The sequence below is a fragment of the Homo sapiens genome, chromosome 11, assembly GCF_000001405.40.
Source record: "Homo sapiens chromosome 11, GRCh38.p14 Primary Assembly".
Taxonomy (NCBI): domain Eukaryota; kingdom Metazoa; phylum Chordata; class Mammalia; order Primates; family Hominidae; genus Homo; species Homo sapiens.
In genome coordinates, this window is record NC_000011.10 from 3,085,439 (window position 1) to 3,104,809 (window position 19,371).

A 19,371-nucleotide genomic window follows, 5' to 3' on the forward strand; every position below is an offset into this window, starting at 1 on the left:
ACATCTGGAGCTCTCCAAATAGTGACACTGGCTACAGTGAATCTTGTTGAACATTTGAAATGCTGGTCAGGTGCTCTCCCTTCCACCTCCTGCAAAGTTGCAAACGGAGGCCAGGTGACGACTGTTGTAAAGTGCCCCCTGAACACCTGTGTAGGCACCTTTTTGGGCATCAGCTCAATTATTCCCTCAGGATTATGCTCACCCTGGACACACTGGGGTCTGGACTCTGTTTTTTTTCCCTCTGGGATAGTTGCTTTCTCTTCCTTGTTGATTTAAAATAGTTCTTAGCAAGAGGCTGGGAGCCATGGCTCACACCTGTAATCCCAGCACTTTGGGAGGCCAAGGCAGGAGGACCGCTTGAGGCCAGGAGTTTATGACCCTGGGCAACATAGTCAGACTCCTGTCTCTAAAAAAAAATGAGCTAGACATGGTGGTGTGTGTCTGTAGTCCCAGCTATTCTGGAGGCTGAGGCAGGAGGATTGCTTGAGCCTGGGAGGTCGAGGCTGCAGTGAGCTTCGATCAGACTACAGCACTCCAGCCCGGGTGGCAGAGTGAGACCTTGTCTCAAAAATAAGTTAAAAAATAAACAGTTCTTAGTAAGATAGAGGGAGAATTCTGGAGGGGATTCCATTCTTGCCCCTGTGTGTGTGAAGGTGCTGGGGTGCAGGTGGAGGGCCTGCCCTGTGGTGAGCTGGAGCTGGTGGGAGGCAGACCCCTGGGTAGGCTGTCTCTGGGCAGGGCACCTGGCTGAGCACGTTTGCTCCGCGTGGGCCTGGGGTGCAGGAGGCAAGATAGGGGTCCCAGGCGGGGTGTCTGGAACAGCCTGCCCCGCCATCAAGATGCAGAAGGCTGTCACCCCCAGGGCTCACACTCTGAGCTCATGTTTGCCCCATGGTGTGTGGCCTCCACAGAGGGGCACTGGAGCCAGGCAGGGCCCCCCGCCCCATCCTCCAGGTGGTTCGGGGGGGTCTTGGGAGTCCTGGCTGTCTGAGGCGGACATGAGGCTCCTCAGAGGAGCTGGGGGGCAGGACCCCCTGCCTCTCCCTCCACCCCAGCCACAGCCCCTCCTCTCCTGGGGCCTTGGGGGTCGAGGTGGGGAGGTGCAGAAGGGAGGTGGTGACCCGAGGCCCCTCGTGTCCCCCTCTCCTGGGTGCTGCCTGGCTGCCCTCCCTTTCATCACCCTTGTCCTCTGGTTGCTGTGAGGGGTGGGCTGCAGTCTCCCTCTGCTGTCACTTGAGGCCTGTGGTCAGGTGCCCCCACCCCGCCTTCAGGGGCACCCTGAGCAGGCCCACTCACTGGCCTTGGTGTCTGAGTACCAGGGGTGGTGGCCACAGTGGAACCGAAGCAAGGGGCAGCGGGCCAGGTGGTCCAGCCAGGGGGGGTCCCCTTCAGTAACTGGCAGCATTGGCCTCAGGGGCTGTGCCAATGCCCCCCAGCAGCCTCTGAGGTGCCTGGAGTGCCTGTGGGCAGTGTCACTCTGTGTCCCCCACTGGCTCATTGGGTGATGGGACGCCAGCCTCCCAGCATTTGCTCCACAGGGCGGGCAGGCTGCCCACAGCTCCCTGTGAACTCTGCACCCTCCTCCCTCCCGGGCCCCTCCACCCAGCCCCACACAGCTCCATGCTGGCCTTGAGTCTTCCTGGGAAGCCCTCCTCTCGTTTCCAGAAGTCCCGCAAGAAGAGAACACGTATGTGTCTGTTTATTTCAAGGTGTGGAACACAGACACATCCCCAGATGGGGGAGGAGGGGAGACAAGGACACGGGTACAAAAACTGGAAACAAAGCCACCCGCTACAGCTCAGACGGCACCGCCACGATGTGGTTTAAGGCTCTGTACGTATATATATGTGTAGAGGCTCACACACGCGCACACGCACACGCAGAGCGGCACTGACACGGGGACTGAGGCCAGACGTGAAGGCTGACTGCAGCTCGCAGCCCACCTAAAATATTGCAATTATGTTTATTAAAAAAGTGTAAAATGGGAAGACTGTGCATCGGTCTGAGTAAAGTGGCGAACTTGAGCCTCCCCGGCCTGGGTGCGGGGCCAGCTAAGCCACACCCCTGCGCCCCCCACACCCCTGCACACACCTGCACCCACAACCACCTCCACCTGCGTGTGCCCCCACCAGAGCGAGCGTCCAGGTGTGGGGGTGGGGTGGTTCCAGGACCTGCCTCTGTGGGGCTCCCATCCAAACAGCACAGCGTGGAATAAAAAACCAAAATGCCTTCCCCAGAGTGGCCCTAACCTGTCCCTGGCACCCACCAGTGGCCCCACCAGGGTGGTCCCGGCAATGTGGACAGGGTCTCCGGAAGGCAGGCCTATGCATCTGTGTGTGGGGGGACTCCTGGGCCACTCGGGGCTCCTCCAAACCTGCCCACTCACTGCTGCTGGGGTGTGACTGTCCAGGGCCCCCACAGGCCCTCCCACCCTAAATCCATCCATCCCCCATGGCAAGTGGAGGCCGGACAGGGGGTGACACGGCAAGATGGCCAGGAGTGCGTCGCACAGCAGAAGCTGCATTTGGCTTTAGCATTAAGGCCAGCGCTGGGCGGAAGGCCCTGCAGAGAGGCCAGTGCCCCTGAGAGGGGCCCAGCACACCTGGGCCCGCAGCGCCTTGTGGCCCCGGGTCCCTCCTGCGCCTGGACTCCCCGTCACAGTGGCTGTGCTTGCCGGGCCTCTCTGCCTCCATGGAGCAGGCTTAAAGTGCTGGGTGCCTGGGAGGGAGGGCTCAGGACCGGCCAGGAGCTCTGCCCTCAGGGCTCCTATTTGAGGATGTGGTTAATGAACAGCTGACACGCCAGGAACACGCAGAGCAGGAACCAGGATCGGGGGCTCTGCAGGAGGCCTGGGGTCGGTGCCTGTGCTGCCCGTGCCGTGGAGCTCAGCATGGCCGAGAGGTGCCTGCAAGGACAGGCGACAGATCGTGGGGGCTGTGCCAATGCCAGCAAGTCCCCCTCCCACAAGCCAGGACAGTGCCCTGGGTACTTGACCAGGTGCTGGACACAGGGCCGAGGTGGAGATGGGATGGCCCTCCAGGGGCAACAGAGCGGGTGGGGGTGGAAAGCTTGTTAGTGGGAGGGCCCCACAGCACCATGGCTATACTGGGATTCCCTGGGCACATTCAGGGCAGAGGAGGGTCAGGGATTGGGGAGTCAGCCTTTTACATCCTCCCTCCCACCCCTGTGGTTATGGCTGAGTCATGCCTCTGCCACCTTCATATGTTGGAGTCCTAACCCCTTGCACCTTAGATAAGACTGTATTTGGAGATGGGGTCCTTAAAGAGGTATTTATTTAAATGGAGACCATTAGGGTGGGCCCTGGTCCCATGGGACTGGTGTCCTTATATGAAGAAGAGATGAAGACACAGACACAGCGAGAAGCTGGCGTCTGCCAGGCAGGAGAGAGGTCTCGGGATAAACCAGCCCTGTGGCACCGAGATCTTGGACTCCAGCCTCCGGGACCGCGAGGGAGTAGACGCGCTGTCCGAGCCCCTTGCCGGCAGTACTCTGCTGTGGAGGCCCTGGCCCTGAGCTGGAGTACTTTGCCGTGGAGGACCTGGCCTCTGAGGCGGTATCCAGTTTGCTGCAGAAGCTTCTGGCTGAGTCCTGGCCACCTGCCTGACAGCTGACCTGCTTCTGGGGAGCCAGGCCTCCCTGCTTCTCTGCCCACACAGCCTCACCAGGGAGCACCTTCTGGAAATGCTTACACAGGGACAATGACAGTTCCCCAAGGCTCTTGAGCCTCACAGAGCCCGGGCCTGTGCCCTGGCTGCATTTCACCCTGGGGTACTGCTATCAAGCCCACTTTACAGAGGGGAGGCTGAGGTGTGACAGCCAAGGTCCCACAGCCAGTGAGACCCTCAGCCTGGCTCAGAGTCAGGAGCTTTGGACCCGAGAGGGACCCTGTGCTCTGCTCCTCATTGGTGGGATCTGCTGACAGGAAGGGGCCATGTGGCCCTGGTGGCCTGCACCTGCCAGCTCTCGGCCACTCCCATTTGCTCCTTCCCCAGCCATTCCTGAGAAGCCACTGTGCGCAGGTATGGGGCCACCACAGTGAGCCCAGGCTGCCACCTCGCTCTGCACACCTCAAGGTCTCTCCTGGGGCTACCCCAGGCCATGCTGGGCTGGCACCTTCCTCTAGGCTTCAGGACATCTCCAGCTCAGTATCTGCCAGGCATGGCCAACTTGGCTGGTTGATCATCCCGCACCACCTGCCGCTCCCACACCCTCTCTCCTGCCCTCGGCGGTTGTCTTCCTTTCATCACCCTGCAGGTCTTGTGGGTTCCAGCTCCGATGACAACCCCAGCCGCGGCCTCCTGGCCTCCCCACCTCCCGCCCTAGCTCTACCAGGTCTCTCGCACTCTCTGACCCGGAGTCTGGATGGACACCCTGAGTGTGGCCCACCTGTGCAGCTCCTGCTGGGCCTCTCGGATGGAGAGGATGGCCTCGTGCAGGGCCTGCAGCCGCCGCGCCTCCTTCCTGCACCGAGGGCATGGGCTCTCACCGCCTGGGACGGCCCCGAGTGAGACAAAGGAGGGGAGGGGAGGAGTGAGGATGAGCTGGAGGTCCAGTGGGGCTGGCACGTGGGTCACAGGGTCATATCCAGCTCGGGCCTCCACCCCACCTCATGGGAAACCTGCAGGGCCAAGCTGAAGACACGGAGATGAGGGAGGGGTGCTGAGGATGTTTCTGGAGGGAACCCCCAGGCTGGACCAGCCACTAACAGGCCTGGGAGGCAGAAGTGGCCAAGGCAAGGCCCATCCATTACAGAGGCAGGGACAAAGTTGGGGAGACACAGCTCCTGGTGACAGGAAAGGAGCAGAGGGCTGGGGCAGGATGCCACTGGACCTGCCCCTCCCACCGCTGGGGAGCCCCTGGCCTGGGCCCACTCCCTTTCTTCCCCACCCCCACCATTCCCCCCGTTGGCCCTTGGGCTGCCTCCCAGACTCTGAGAGGGCAGAGCCTGCTGGGGGGCCCCTCAGGGCAGCAGAGGAGCTTTTGCTGGGAGGTTGCCCTACATCTGGGCAGGTGCTTCTCTGGCCTCCCCTCCAGCCAGGTCAGCATCTGAGGCACCCCACCAGACAGAGGCCTTGGGGCTGGGCCCAAGGGGGCTCACCAGGGACAAAGTCACCATCCTGCTCCTCGTCTGAGAGCTCTGGGCAGGACTCAGGCGTGGATCCGCTGCTCTCCGTGGCCTGGCTGTGGCCGGAGGGCTGGTCGCTGGCCTTGCGAAGCCGCTGGTCTGGGCCAGACCTCTGCAGAGAAATGGAGCTGCTGCAGCTGAAAGCCACCCACGCCCCCTGCCCAGGCCCCAGGGACATGGTGGCATGCTTATGCCAGGACAGTGCTAGAGGTGGCAGCCAGCAGGGAGGGCAGCTGCTGGGCTGTGGAGCTGGCTGGAGGGGTCTGTCTCAGCCCCGGCATGGCCTGGAGTAGCCATGGTCCCTTTGAGCCTGTTTCCTCATGGGTGAGACAGAGCTACTGACCCCTCACAGTGAGCAAGGGCCTGCAAGGTGGTGCAGACACGCCTGCCCTGTGCTCACCATGGCGTTGCATCCAATAAATGCAGAGATGATGGCATGGGGGGCCGAGGGTGGTTCTGACCCCTGAGCCATGAGGACAGATGAAAGCCGAGGCCACTGTGGGAGCTGGGAGGTTCATAGGAACCCCAGATGGCTAGGGTTCCCCATGTCAAGGGGCATCTCCAGGGGGGAACCCCCACACTCAGCCGGCTGCTCACAACCCCAGGAGTGCAGGCAGGGCTCATCCATTCAGCCCTTACTTGAGCTCACAAGGAACCCAGGACAGGAACTGATGCTCAGGGGTGGGGAAAAAGCAGAACCTGGCTGTGGGACCACCATGTAACAACAGGCGTTTGGGGCCAGAGAGGTGCCAGGGACGCTCTGCATTGGGTGTGGTCAGCGACGGGGCAGGTGGGGTCAGAGCCAGGACAGGTGGGGTCAGAGGCGGGGCAGGTGGGTTTGGCCACAAGGTACTCCATGGGATGGTTTTTGAGGCATGGCAGGGCCCAGGCTGACTGACCTCAGCAGGGGCTGCGGGGTGGGAGGCTGCAGAGGGCATTGGGGGTGGACATCTGCTGGAGATTGGTGGGGAGAGGCTGAGGAGCGGGACTGCGAGGGTCTGGGGCCAAGGGAAGGCAGGAGCTAGCAGTCTGGCCTGAGCCCGGGGGGATGGAGACTGTGCTGCAGACATAGGGGGTGCATCTGTCTACCTTCCTGAGGCTTCTTCCCTAGTCCCTTGGCAGGCAGAGCATGGGACATGCAGCCAAGGAGATACCGCGGCCCCCAGCTTGCTGGAGAAGTTAGGGCCATCAGGCAAGCAAGGCCTCTCATCTGAGTCTGGCCCAGACGGCATCAGCTGGGGAACACGCCCCCATCCTGTCCGCTGCGGGTGAGCACCGGCCGCGCTCTGCACCCTCTGCACGCAGTAGGTGCACGGCTGGGGCGGTGCAGCTCAGCACACCTGGAACGGGGGCGTGTGGGTTTGGCGCCACCTGGTGGCCGCCTAAGGCATGGCACCAAGACACACCCAAGGCAGCTTCCTCAGGTTACTCCCTGGAGCCTCCTGCTGTCCCGCTTCCCCTTTCCAGACACAAGATCTGTGCAAGTGCTGGCTCCTCCTCCTCCTACCTGGGAAGGGCCCTGGGCTGCCCTGACCTTCTGTTTCCTGATCAGTGGAATGGGATAATGTGGCTGCTAACTTGGCAGAGGGAGACTTTGGGGGCAGTGGACAGAGACAGTAGACACAGGGTCCCACAAGCCAAGGTGCCCCTAGAACTGAGCATCCTGCAAATCCCGGTTTCCTGAGTCCCATGCTCGGCAGAGAAGGAAAGGGGACGAGGGGGCTGGGGGATGAGGGCGTGAGGGAAACGGAGCGAGGGGAAGGGAGGAGTGAGGTGAGGAGCGAGGGGTGGTGGTGGCCACACGTGCAGCTAAGACCAGCCCTGGGTGGGGCCTGTGGGGTGCTGACCTCGTGCCTGGGCCCTGGGCTGCCCAGGAAGGTGGTCTGGCGGGCCACGGCCTCCTGCTGCAAGGTCCGCAGGATCCCGTCTTGCTCAAACTGGGCGATGTCCTTCAGGGGGTCCCAGGGGCTGTGGCTGGAGGGTCCAGAGGGCGTTCATCAGCACAGGCAGTGGCCCTCAGGTGAGGGGGCTGTCCTGGCCCAGTCTTCAGCCCCCCAACAGTGGCCAGAGACCTCCAGGAGAATGACCACTGCCCACACCCCATGGGCAGGGCCTGCAGTAAGGACTGATGATGGGGGGTGTCACTATCTGACCCTCCCCCACCGACTCCTCCAGGGGACAGGCTGAAGGTGAGAGGGAAGCCAGGAGCCCCTGGGCCCTTCTCAGCCCGTCTGCTAGGCCCAGCCCCACCCTGTGGCCCCCAGGGCTTTGTCGGCACTCACTCCTCGTATCGGTAGTGCCACTCCTGGGTGATGGGGTCCAGGTGGAACAGCTGCGGCTTCCAGGGCATGAGGCTCTCCTGCCGCTCACGGGCCCGCTGCCGCTGTGCCTCCTCCAGTGCAAACTTCTCCTGTGTGGCCCTGTGCTGGTCGCCCTTGCTGATGGCCCTGGTGACGTGCTGCCAGAGCCTGCGGGCCAGTGACCCATCCTGAGCCAGTGGCCCGGGCAGCCCGACCCCTAGGCAGCTAGGAATCAGGGCCCCTTGGCACCAGAAGGAAGGCACAGAGCAACCTCTGCGTGATTGCCTACAGTGACAGGGAGCTCACTACTTTGAAGAGAGCTTTTCTTTTGTCCATGAGATGGGTTTTTCCAACACTGAGCTCCCATCTCCCGCCTGCAGGGACCTCCCTGTGCACCTGTTGGTCACTCGCCGGCAGTGATGCAGTGAGAGGTCACGGCAGCCGGCTCCTCTCCAGGCCACACCCCTTCCCTCCATCTGTCCTTTCCAGGACACGTGATCTGCCACCAGGGGTGCACCAGGCCTGCCCTCCCTGCCAGGGACATCCTGGGGCCATGCTCACAGCACTGTAGCCCTGCTGACCTGCCTGCTTGGCCATGTCAGGCTGTGGTCAGCAGGGTCCCTGGGCGCTGACAGGCCTCACCTCTCGGACTCCAGCTCCGTCTGCTCCTCCAGCGGCACCGTGTGCTGCCTCAGCCTCTGTCTGCGGACCTCCCCGCTCGGGGTCCAGAAAAGCGCACTGCTTCCGCTCCCTTCCTCCTTGATAAACACGTCCCTGTCCTGCCCCAGATGGCCAGCGGGGTCAGAGGCTGGCCTGGCGTTGACCGCCCGGCCGTGCCTGCCCTGAGGGACGGCCCCTTACCCAGTGGCCACTGAGGCTCGCCAGGACTTCCTCTCCCGACGTGATCTTTCCCGAGATCTGGTTGATGCTGGTGCTACCCCCGAAGAAGGGCTGCGGGGCCACACCCAGAACAGAGCCCAGTGAGCGGGGGCTGGGGCCTCCAGAATCACATCCTCATGGGGGCACGGAACAGTTATTCTCTTGGGGTGCCTGGGAGCCCAGGAGGGATGGACCCAACCCTCGCCAACGAGGCCTTCGGGACCCCCACGCCTCCGCTCAAGGATGTAGTGTCCCTGCCACAGAGACAGGGCCTAGGCTGGCTCTGCTGTGTGGCTGCAGGCAGCAGCCTCCCTTCTCTGGGCCCTGTCTGTGTTCCGGGATGTCAACAGCTGCTCCCCTTATGTGCACTGCCTTGGGGAACCTTCCTTGGGGCCTGGGGAGAGTGTGAGGGGGATCCCCAAGGCTTCGTTCCTTCCCTGGCCTCGTCTCCCCCAGGCTGCAGCCAGCGCTACCTTGAGTTTGAATTCCAGCTGGGCCTGGAAGTTGTTCTTCGCACACTCGATGGTGACCTTCCCACCCAGCTCCAGGGTCATCGTGCCATACAGGATTCCTGAAATGCAGCCAGTGTCAGGGGCCAGGCGGCCCCAGCCCTGCTGAGCCCCAGGCCCTGCTGAGTACCGACCCAGCAGCACCGATCCCTGAGTCCCGACCCAGCAGCACCGATCCCTGGGAGGCCTGTGTCAGTCCCTGGGAGGGTGAGAAGGACAGGAGGCGCTGGGAGCAGAACCCCACAGGGAGAGGCTGGTGGGGGTGCGGAGCCTGGGAGGTGCGGAGCCTGGGAGGCACGGAGCCTGGGAGGCACGCCTGGTCCCTCAGGGGCCGTCTCCCCCACTAAGGGGGCTCTGTCCTCGCCAGGGCCTTTGCTCATGTCAGGTGTCGCCTCCTGTTCCAGCCTCCTGGGAGGCCACCAGCCCTGTGAGACATGCATCGTGCTTCACTTGACTCTGCAGTTCCCGCTCTGGCATTGGGCTCCTGAGGGCAGGCATCTTCTCGCTCACTGCTGCGTCCCAGGATGGCACCCAGAACACAGAGGGCACCAGCACCCATGATGGCATCCCGTATGTTTAAAAAAATTAATACGTCTTTCTTTGTTTTGTTTTTTTTCAATTAATGAAGGAAAGAACAACTTTTCCATGTCTGGCATATGGAGGAGGTAATCTAATTAAAGAAGCACCACCACCTCCACCATCAAAACCCAAACATTTGCACTCTAAAAACCACTTAGAAATGTGTGGCAGAATATGTCTCTTAAAAATGAAGAAAAGAAACAACAAGCTACTTGTTGCAACAAAGGCTTGAAACACCCCCAAATCCCTCCAGAGGGGGCTGTGTGAGTGCACCCTGGCCCATGAGCACGATGGAAAGCTATGCAGCCTAGAAAGACAAAGCGGCATCTCTGTGCAGCTCTGATGGGGGGAGGTCTCCAGGCTCCACGGAGAGGAAGAAGGCCCAGGAGGCGGAGGTTGTAGTGAGCCAAGATCACACCACTGCACTCTAGCCTGGGCAACAGAGTGAGACTCTGTCTCAAAAAAAAAAAAAAAAAAGAAAAGAAAAGAAAGAAAAGCAAAGCAGGTCTGACCTCCAGATTGTGATCACTAAATATTATTTCCTAGTGAAGGGAACCTGGAGCTCCCGGGAGAAATGGTCGATTTGAGGTCTAGTGTAGGAAATGTCCTAGGTGCACACATGGTCAGGGCAGAAGGAAGAATACCAGCAGAGGTACTGGGGTGTGCAGGGGGCCCCTGAGCCAACTATGGCCCCCATTGGCCAAAGATGGGGCAATTTCAATATCAATAAAGTTAATAACTGAAAGGTTCTGAAATCACCAAATACGTTCCTATCAAATAATACGTGGCAATAATGACCTTCGCCAGTCACCTTTGGAAGACAGCAGGGGAAAAAAATCATTATTTTGAAAATATAAAAAACCTGGGATTTATCCTAAAACAAACCAATCCTGTTGGGTAACCACATAGTAGACAAGGGGAAGTTTCTCTTTTGAGAAGCCTTCCGGTGATTAAGTGAAAGAGGATGGAACGTCACCATCTAGCAATGCCTTTTACATGAATGGATCCAGGCATTGAGAATCAATGTCCACTAATGTCACAAGGAACAACAGGCCCTGTGCACCCTGCTGTGGAAAGACACAAAACCCCCATTAAGCGTCGTGTTGAAAAAAACTGTGCTGAACGTGATCAGGCATCTCGAGATCAAATCAATTCGTGGTTTATAGGAAATCCCCAGGGCAGAGGAATGCAGCCAGGAAAATCCATGCTAGAGGGGACTAGGAGGAAATGAGTAATACTCTGCAAGGGAAAAACAGGAGGGAGGGACATCAAGGAGATGTAAACATAGGACATCCATGCACGGAGCATGGCCTGATGCAGAGACCCAGCCAAACGGCCAACTGTCACGTGTGTGGGGGATCAAGACACAGGCACGTGGCAGCTGGGGATATGAACCAGATTGTAGACTCGATGACAACTAAGAGTTTGTTTGTTTGTTTTTCATCTGATGATAGTATTGTGGCTATGGTTAAGAAGGGAAATCCCGGCCTGGCGTGGGGGCTCACGCCTGTAATCCCAGCACTTTGGGAGGCCGAGGTAGGCTGATCACCTGAGGGCAGGAGTTTGTGACCAGCCTGGCCAACATGGTGAAACCCTATCTCTACTAAAAATACAAAAATTAGCTAGGTGTGGTGGCGCACGCATGTAATGCTAGCTACTCGGGAGGCTGAGGCAGGAGAATCGTTTGAACTCAGGAGGCGGAGGTTGCAGTGAGCTGAGATTGCACCATTGCACTCTAGCCTGGGCAACACAGCAAGACTCTGTCAAAAAAAAAAAAAGACAGAAAGAAAGAAAGAAAGAAGGGAAATCCTTAACTTTAGTGATATAAAATAAAATAAAATACACAAATGACATGACATGATATTTGGGATTTACTTCCAATTAATTCAGGGGAGAGCATGAAGGTGGGTGCATTGCTGTGCTGTGGGTATATGGGGTGTACTGTACTTTGATATATGTTTGAACTTTGCCATAATAAAAAGTTGAAAAAATATATGAAGCATGGATGAGTCAATGAGCATGCAAGAAAAGATGGGAATTCTCCCACAAGAAAAAATAAAGGGGAGAAGACGGGAGGAGGAGAGGAAAGAGGGAGGAGATGGGAGGAGGAGAAGAGGAAAGAGGGGGAAGGTGGGAGGAGGAGAAGAGGAAAGAGGGGGAAGACGGGAGGGGGAGGAGAGGAAAGAGGGAAGACAGGAGAAGGAGAGGAAAGGGGGAAGATGGAAGGAGGAGAAGAGGAAAGAGGGGGAAGATGGGAGGAGGAGGAGAGGAAAGAAGGGGAAGATGGGAGGAGGAGGAGAGGAAAAGGGGGGAAGAGAAAGAGGGGCATTTGTCGATCTGAGATCTTGGTTTCTGAGGTTGCCGTGGAAAGTGGTAGACAGGTCCTTGGGTCAGAGTAACCAGGAGAGATTTTTTCCGAGACATTTCCACTAAGCAGGCACTCTCACATGGCTACACCCTCAACAGAAGGAACAGTCGCAGAAAGGCCGTTCATTCCAGAGGGAGAGTCAAGGAAACATTTGTATTGGGCCTGCGCTCCGGGGTTAAAAAGAAACCCCAGAACTCTCCATGAATGTGTAGGGTAAGTTTGGGATTCAAATCTATACTTCCTCTGTGTCCCAGAAACAACCTACTAAGAAAATGTGAGAGCCAACAAAACAATTTCAGCCAACAAAACGAAAACAAACAAACACAAAACTAGCAAATTAGAATCCCAAGGTTTTACTAAATACAGCCATTCTTTGAATAATTATCGAGCACCTTCAAGGGCAACACTATGGTCAGTGAGGACACAGCAGCAAACAAAACAGAATATGAGAGTGACCAGCTAGAGATGATAAAACAACTGTGCTTATTACAATGCTCAAAGATTTATGAGAAAGGATTGGAAACATGACCAAGGAACAATGCACGAGTATAAAAAGAACAGGCAAGGCCGAGCGCACTGGCTCACACCTGTAATCCCAGCACTTTGGGAGGCCGAGGCAGGCGGATCACCCGAGGTCAGGAGTTTGAGACCAGCCTGGCCAACACGGTGAAACCCCATCTCTACTAAAAATACAAAAAATTTGCTGGGCGTGGTGGCGGGCGCCTGTAGTCCCAGCTACTCAGGAGGCTGAGGCAGGAGAATTGCTTGAACCCAGGTGGTGGAGGTTGCAGTGAGCTGAGATCATGCCATTGCACTCCAGCCCGGGCAACAAGAGTGAAACCCCAACTTCGTCTCAAAACAAAAATAAAAACAAACAAACAAAAAAACCAGGCAGGTTTGAAATGAAACCAAGTAGAACTTCTTGGGAAACAATATATCAAAATGGAAAACTCAGTGGATGAGTTACACGTCAAGTTAATTAGAGTTAAAGATACATCTACATAAGTTATCTAGAATGCAAAGAGATAAGAGATACGATGGAAACATTAAGAGAGACAAAGCAAAGGAGGAGATGGTTCAAATTCTGTCTCATTGGAGTTCTAGGAAAAATGGAGAAATCAGGAGTGAGGCACTTAAAAAAAATGGCTAAAATTTTCTGGACTTCATCAAAGCCACGAAACCTCAGGTTCAAATAATTCAAACAAACAAAAACCTTCAATCAGCAAAAATTAAAAAGAAATCCAGAGCTATCAAGCCATAAAAAGACATGAAGGAATTTTTTTTTTTTTTTTTTTTTTTTTTGGAGATGGAGTTTCGCTCTTGTTGCCCAGGCTGGAGTGCAATGACATGATCTCAGCTCACTGCATCCTTCAACTCCCGGGTTCAAGTGATTCTCCTGCCTCAGCCTCCTGAGTAGCTGGGATTACAGGCATGCATCACCATGTCTGGCTAATTTTGTATATTTATTAGAGACGGAGATTCTCCATGTTCGTCAGGCTGGTCTTAAACTCCTGACCTCAGGTGATCCATTTGCCTCAACCTCCCAAAGTGCTGGGATTACAGTTGTGAGCCACTGAGCCCAGCAAAGATTTTTTTTTTTTTTTTGAGATGGGATCTCACGCCAGCCCAGGCTGGCATGCACTGGTGCCACGATGGCTCCTCAAAGCCTCTGCCCCCTGGGCTCAGGTTATTCTCCCACTTCAACCTCCCAAGGCTGGGACCACAGGTGCACCACCATGCCTGGCTAGTTTTTTGGTACTTTTTGTAGAGACAGGGTTTTGCCATGTTGCCCAGGCTGGTCTTGAACTCTTGGGCTCAAGTGATTCCCCCAACTCTACCTCCCAAAGTGCAGGGATTTATAGGCATGAGCCATCATGCCTAGTGGAGGAATCTTTAAGTGCATATTGCCAAGTGAAAGACGCCAATCTGAAAACGCTCCACACCGTATGATTCCAACTACATGACATTCCGGAAAAAGCCAGGGCCTGGAGGGACTGAGGAATATGTGGCTCCATCTAGTCACGTCTAATCATAAGGGATTTTTAGGGTAGTGCAACTATTCTGTGAGATGTGGTAATGGCAGATACATGTCCTTCTGTATTTAGCAAAACCCACAGAATGAGCAACACAAGGAGTGAAAAGGAAGGTGAACTGTGTACTCAGTTAGTAACAATGTATGAGTATTGGCTCATCGATGATACCAAATGTAGCACCTCAGTGTGAGATGTTAATAACAGGGGAAACTGTGTAGGGGACACACAGGAACTCTCTGTACTTCCTGCTCAATTTTTCTGTAAACACAACACTACTGTAAAAAAGAAAGTCTGTTAATGAAAAAATAAAAAAGAAATCCAAACTTTGAAACACTGTAGCAAGACTACAGGGCACCAAGGCAAGGAAAATATCTTCAAAGCAGCTACAGGGAAAAGCAGATTAGGTAACAAATAGGCTGACAGCTGATCATCCCCAACAGCAATGGAAGCCACAAGGCAAGCAAAACGCACATATTCAAAGGGCAGTAAAATAGCATCTACATGGAATTACCCACCTTCAAAAGTCATGGGCGAGGCTGGGCGCGGTGGCTCATGCCTGTAATCCCAGCACTTTGGGAGGCCGAGGCGGGCGGATCACCTGAGGTCGGGAGTTCGAGATCAGCCTGACCAACATGGTGAAACCCTGTCTCTACTAAAAATACAAAATTAGCCAGGCGTGGTGGCGCATGCCTGTAATCCCAGCTACTTGGAGCCAAGATCACGCCATTGCACTCCAGCCTGGGCAACAAGAGCGAAACTCCATCTCAAAAAAAAAAAAAAAAAAAGTCATGGGCAGATGAAGGCGAAGTAAAGATACCTTCAAGCAAATAACCAAAGGGTTTTAGCATCTAGCTGCTCTCACAGAGCCTGGCTCTGCCCTCGGAGTGTGTGGCTGAGCCTCTCACCTTTGCAGTGGGCGTAGGGCATGGTAAGGGTGTAATCCTCGGCTCGGTTCAGGAAGGTGAGCGTGGCTTTGCCGTCCAGCAGCGCCGACAGCGAGTTCCCTGCAGAGACAAGAGACAGCAGGACCAGTGAGTGCGGACAGCCCTTTCACATCTGAGGCCACCCCTAAGTCACAGGGTCTGAGCTCCTTCCAACAGCTGAACACGCTCCTGGCACTTCCAGTGGTGTGTCTGTGCGTGAGTCACTTAACCTCTCTGGGCCTCAGATTCTGTAAAATCCTTGTCCAGTGTGCACAGGACATCTGTGCTGAGAAGTTATTTCACCTTTGACTTGTTAGTGGTTTATTGCAGTCGCAAAACTGCAGATTCGCAGGGTGGAGGCTGCAAACTTTTTCAAACTCGACTGAGCCCTGCTCAGATTTTAAACATCCCTGTGGAGGGAGTACGCCTCGCTTGGGGCCACGAGTCGCAGGTACTGCTGGTGAGGAGAGGACAGAGTTGGGAAAGGTGGGCTGAACCTGAGGGTCGCACCTGGGACCCCCTCCCAGACTTCCACACACCCAGCAGAGAGCCGAGCACACAGAGGCAACAGGCGCACACCTGCCCATGGATGAAACTGATGAAAAAGGTACAACGGATGGGACGAAATGTAAACGGACACTTTTCTGAGCACCCAAGTCTGCCAGGCCCCAGAGCAGTGCAGTCCAATGGGGCTGTCTCTGAAGACCAGAGCTTCCCTCCTGCCTGTCCCACTCCGGGGCCAACACTGAGCCTGTGTGATTTGGCAATAGAGGGACTGCAGTTTCAGTTTCATTTCTTTTTTTTTTTTTTTTTTTTTGAGACAGAGTCTCACCCTGTCGTCCAGGCTGGAGTACAGTGGCACCATCTTGGCTCACTGCAACCTCCACCTCCCGGGTTCAAGCGATTCTCCTGCCTCAGCCTTCCCAGTAGCTGGGATGACAGGCACGTGCCACCATGCCCGGCTAACTTTTGTATTTTTAGTAGAGACAGGGTTTCACCATGTTGGACAGTCTGGTCTCAAACTCCTGATCTCAAGTGATCCACCCACCTCGGCCTCCCAAAGTGCTGGGATTACAGGCGTGAGCCACCATGCTTTGACTAAGTTTCATTTCATTTTAGCCAATTCAAATAGTCATGCAGTGCTCTGGGGCTGCTCAGCCCCAGTCCGCACCTTTCCATGTAGGTGCCCTCTCTCAGTCCCCACAGCGTCCCTACAAAAGGTGCCCACTCTCAGCTCGGGGAGCTGCGGGCAGCTCTGCCTCATGGCCGGGTCTCAGCACCTGACCACCACATGGTCTCTGACTAGGAGGGGTTGGGAGGGACAGGCACATGGCCCCCATCCAGATCTTGGTCCACTGGCTCCCGGAGTCCTCCCGACCATCGCATTTCCCTGAGGCCCCAGGGAGCGCCCAGGGTGACCCCCTCACCATAAAACCTGGACTTGGCTGTGATGCTGCCACTGATGCAGAAGCCGTCCTTCCGGTTGCTGACGTGGAAGGCAGACACGGGCGGGTGGTGGGACACCTGCGTGCAGGGAGGCGGCTCTGTAAACAGCCCCGGAAACAGGTAATCCCAGGAAGCGAGAGCCCAGCTTCCCCCAAAAAACCTGTCCCTGTCCCTGACGCCACATCTTCTCCCCCGATCCCAGGATTCGGGTAGGGGCCTTCCTGGCTCTCGCTTACGACGCCCAGGGCAGGTAGGCCTCAGCTGTGGGGCTTGCGGGCCCTGAGTTGCCCCAGAAGTCCCCATCGGGAGATGGGACACACTGTCCTCTCCCTAGGGAGACACTGTCTGCTGTCACAGTCATGGTGGTGTCTGCACCTTCTGCAAGAATCCCTGTTGGCAGCGGCTGGGTCCACAGCCCTTCCGGTGTGCAGGATGTGGGGTCCCCTGGAAGCCGGCCCTCGGGGTCACGCTTGCCCCTGCCTGCTGCCAGGGCCCCGCCCCCACAGAGCCCCGCCCCATAGAGCCCAGCACCCAGGCCGGTTGCAGCAGAGGTGCTCTTGCCTGCTCTGCTATGTAGAATGTGCGGCTGTCAGTCTGCGGGTGGAACCAGCAGCAGCGGAAGGTCTCCCCCAGGATGGGGTTGTACGGCTTCTTGATTCCCTGCAGACAACAGAGACTTGTGTGAGGAGCCAGGTGGGTAAGAGGTCCGCTGTGCAGAGCAGGTGAGGGATGTGGACGGAGGGGCAGCGTGGGTGGGCTACCCGCTGCCTGCTGGCCTGGTTTGCTGCTAGCATCTGGGAACAACACCTCACTTCTGCTTTGCGGGGACTATGCTTTGCCTGTGGTTTACATTCTTGGGGGACAGCCTCAGGGGAATCCTGTCCACTTCTTAGCTCGGAGAAGGGACACGAGACCCTGACCTTGTCACACTCTCCTTGGACCTTGGGTGTAACCTGCACACAGCCTGCTGAAAGCCATGGAAGGCACCAGGCAGTCAGAAGTCCTGCCTCTACCCCAAACCTGCTGTACGACTCAGGCCATCCTTTCACCTGAGCCTCAGTTTCCCCATCTGCACAATAAAGAAGTGGAACCACGGTCGTGGTTTTCAAACTTGCTTCCCATGGAACCCCAGGGCTCTGTGGTGGGGTCAGGGGAGCTGCGGGCCCTCTTGCTCACTACAACGAGAGCAGCCCTGCTGTCACTGGAGTCCTGGGTTTGGGGTTCTAAAAGGGGTTTCCATGGCTAAAAATTTATGAAAACCACAGATCCCAAAGGTACCTTGAGGTTTAAGGTTTAAAGCTCCTTTCTTTTGGCACCATCTGTAATACGGCCTGAGGCTGTTTTCTTGGGGGGTGGGGAAGGGGTCCAGCTTGGGGCCTTGAGGGATGAGACCACCCTTGGGGACCCGGCCTGAGCCATCCAGGGCCCCAACTGTGGGAAGTGGGGCCCTGTCCCCCATCACCAAGGACCTGGGCCCTCTGTGGGGGTGACCAGGATCCTTCTAAGCCATGTGGGGTAGGGGGTGGCCCGGGGACTCAGGGAAGTGCCAAGGGACGAGGGCTGAGCAGACAGACTCCTGGGCCGGAGCCCCACCCTCCCTGGCTGGCAGGGGCTCACCTTGGGCTTCTTGTAGAAGCCAGACAGGTACCACCGCAGCACCAGCTTCATGCGGCTGTAGGCATCCTCCTCCACCGCAGCCCTGCCATGGGGCAGGAGAACGCTGACCCCAGCTCCGGGGGCCGTGGGCCACCCTCCCTTTCCCTGACCCTTCCCTCCTACCATCCCGACCTCCAACCACTCAGCTGGAAACAGGCCACTTGGCCCAGGCGCTCTGGTCACCCCCAAGCAGGATAATTTTCTCTGGGGAAGTGGGTTCTTCTAATCAGAAAGTGCCAGGGCTGCTCCCACGCTGGGGCAGAGAGGACACTGCTGACCTGGGCTGCCAGGGTGCCCCTGTCTCCAGGAAGCCTCCCTGCCCATGCTCTTGTTCCCACCTGCTCCCTCTGCCTGGCTCCTGAGCCTGCAGCCCCCTTCCTGCCTCTGTTGCCCCCTTCCAGTCTCTGCAGCCCCCTTCCAGCCTGCGTACCCCCTTCCAGGCTCTGCTGCCCCTTCCTGCCTCTGCAACCCTCTTCCAGCTCTGCAGCCCCCTTCCAGCCTCTGCAGTCCCTTCCTGCCTCTGCAGCCCTCTTCCTGCCTGCGCAGCCCCCTTCCAGCCTCTGCAGCCCCTTTCCAGTCTGCGCAGCCCCCTTCCTGCCTCTGTAGCCCCATTCCTGCCTCTGCAGCCCCCTTCCTGCCTCTGCAGCCCATCCCATCCAGCTCGAGGGTGCAGGGCTCAGGGTGCATGGCAAGTGCTTGGGACTGACCCCCCTCTCACCACGGATGGCTGGCTCCTCCCAGGCCCATCTTGGAGACAGGGCCCCCTGGGAGGCTACAGCTGCAGAAACAGTGGGCTGAGATCAGCCATGGGATTCTCTGGAAGCCCCCACAGGGCAGGTAGGGGCTGGGGGTGCTGCAGGGTCTCATGCAGATGCAGGACGAGGTGTGGGGTGCCCCTCCCGGCATGGCGCGCACCTGGAGAGCAGGTCTGCGTGGTAGTAGTAGTCGGAGAGCTTGTTCAGGAAGGAGCGCGGCTCCAGTACGAACGTGGGTAGCACCACGCGGGACAGGTCCATGCCTGGCCGTAGCTGCTTCAGCAGGGTCCACATCAGACTCTTGTTCTCCTCTGACACTGTCTCCACCTGGGACGCCTCGCCCAGCTGCAGCAGACAGGCTGCAGTCAGGCCCTGCCCGGAAGAGCCGGGAGGAAGGGGTGGCGGGACAGTGGCAGCTCTGGCTGGAGGAGGCTGTACCTGCCACCCCTTAGGGTGTAAACCCCTGACCTGGCCTCCATGGCCTCATGAGGCTGACTCAGCCCCATCAGATGTGAACTCTTCCCAATGCGTCTCCACCCCACCCCTGGAGCACCCGCAGCCCAGGTCCAGGCCCGCTCCTGTCTCTGCTCCTTGCCCAGGGACCCCATGCCCTGCCCTCCTCAAAGTCCAGGGTGCAGCCTCCCAACACCTGCTGTTGAAACCTGTCTGTGCATCGTGGGACCCTGGGCCCAGGGAACAGAGAGACTGCAGCCCACCCTGTCTTCACAGCTGCCAGGGGAGGCAGGGATTTGGCCTGCTCTTCCATTTTTTAAAAAA

The 19,371-nt window shown here is 57.3% G+C and overlaps 1 protein-coding gene across 5 annotated transcripts in view, besides 6 other annotated features; it reads right to left on the minus strand.

The window, feature by feature from the left end:
- Window positions 1,669–19,371, minus strand: part of OSBPL5 (oxysterol binding protein like 5) — a 78,204-nt gene continuing 60,501 nt past the window's right edge. For all 5 annotated transcript variants that reach the window (NM_145638.3, NM_001144063.2, NM_020896.4 and 2 more), the window contains 13 exons: window positions 18,755–18,939; window positions 17,801–17,882; window positions 16,745–16,843; window positions 16,165–16,261; window positions 14,720–14,818; window positions 8,799–8,896; window positions 8,308–8,397; window positions 8,089–8,225; window positions 7,429–7,614; window positions 6,994–7,120; window positions 5,120–5,258; window positions 4,408–4,510; window positions 1,669–2,905 (listed from right to left, as the gene is read on the minus strand). In NM_145638.3, the coding sequence (NP_663613.1) occupies window positions 2,767–2,905; window positions 4,408–4,510; window positions 5,120–5,258; window positions 6,994–7,120; window positions 7,429–7,614; window positions 8,089–8,225; window positions 8,308–8,397; window positions 8,799–8,896; window positions 14,720–14,818; window positions 16,165–16,261; window positions 16,745–16,843; window positions 17,801–17,882; window positions 18,755–18,939 (1,581 nt within the window). In that variant the 3' untranslated portion in view covers window positions 1,669–2,766. The remainder of the gene's footprint in view (window positions 2,906–4,407; window positions 4,511–5,119; window positions 5,259–6,993; window positions 7,121–7,428; window positions 7,615–8,088; window positions 8,226–8,307; window positions 8,398–8,798; window positions 8,897–14,719; window positions 14,819–16,164; window positions 16,262–16,744; window positions 16,844–17,800; window positions 17,883–18,754; window positions 18,940–19,371) is intronic.
- Window positions 5,704–6,512: an enhancer, noted in NCBI's record as "H3K4me1 hESC enhancer chr11:3112372-3113180 (GRCh37/hg19 assembly coordinates)". NCBI's record gives its function as "activates a minimal SCP1, AML or CMV promoter by ChIP-STARR-seq in naive H9 embryonic stem cells {active_cell/tissue: H9 hESC(naive)}" and the evidence as "EXISTENCE:reporter gene assay evidence [ECO:0000049][PMID:30033119]".
- Window positions 5,704–7,320: a biological region, named in NCBI's record as "hESC enhancers GRCh37_chr11:3112372-3113180 and GRCh37_chr11:3113181-3113988".
- Window positions 6,361–6,655: a silencer, noted in NCBI's record as "tiled region #3447; K562 Repressive DNase unmatched - State 8:EnhW". NCBI's record gives its function as "represses a minimal TATA promoter and a strong SV40 promoter by Sharpr-MPRA in K562 cells {active_cell/tissue: K562}" and the evidence as "EXISTENCE:reporter gene assay evidence [ECO:0000049][PMID:27701403]".
- Window positions 6,502–6,571: an enhancer, noted in NCBI's record as "active region_4308". NCBI's record gives its function as "activates an Ori minimal core promoter by ATAC-STARR-seq in GM12878 lymphoblastoid cells {active_cell/tissue: GM12878}" and the evidence as "EXISTENCE:reporter gene assay evidence [ECO:0000049][PMID:35858748]".
- Window positions 6,513–7,320: an enhancer, noted in NCBI's record as "H3K27ac-H3K4me1 hESC enhancer chr11:3113181-3113988 (GRCh37/hg19 assembly coordinates)". NCBI's record gives its function as "activates a minimal SCP1, AML or CMV promoter by ChIP-STARR-seq in naive and primed H9 embryonic stem cells {active_cell/tissue: H9 hESC(naive and primed)}" and the evidence as "EXISTENCE:reporter gene assay evidence [ECO:0000049][PMID:30033119]".
- Window positions 8,129–8,936: an enhancer, noted in NCBI's record as "H3K27ac-H3K4me1 hESC enhancer chr11:3114797-3115604 (GRCh37/hg19 assembly coordinates)". NCBI's record gives its function as "activates a minimal SCP1, AML or CMV promoter by ChIP-STARR-seq in naive H9 embryonic stem cells {active_cell/tissue: H9 hESC(naive)}" and the evidence as "EXISTENCE:reporter gene assay evidence [ECO:0000049][PMID:30033119]".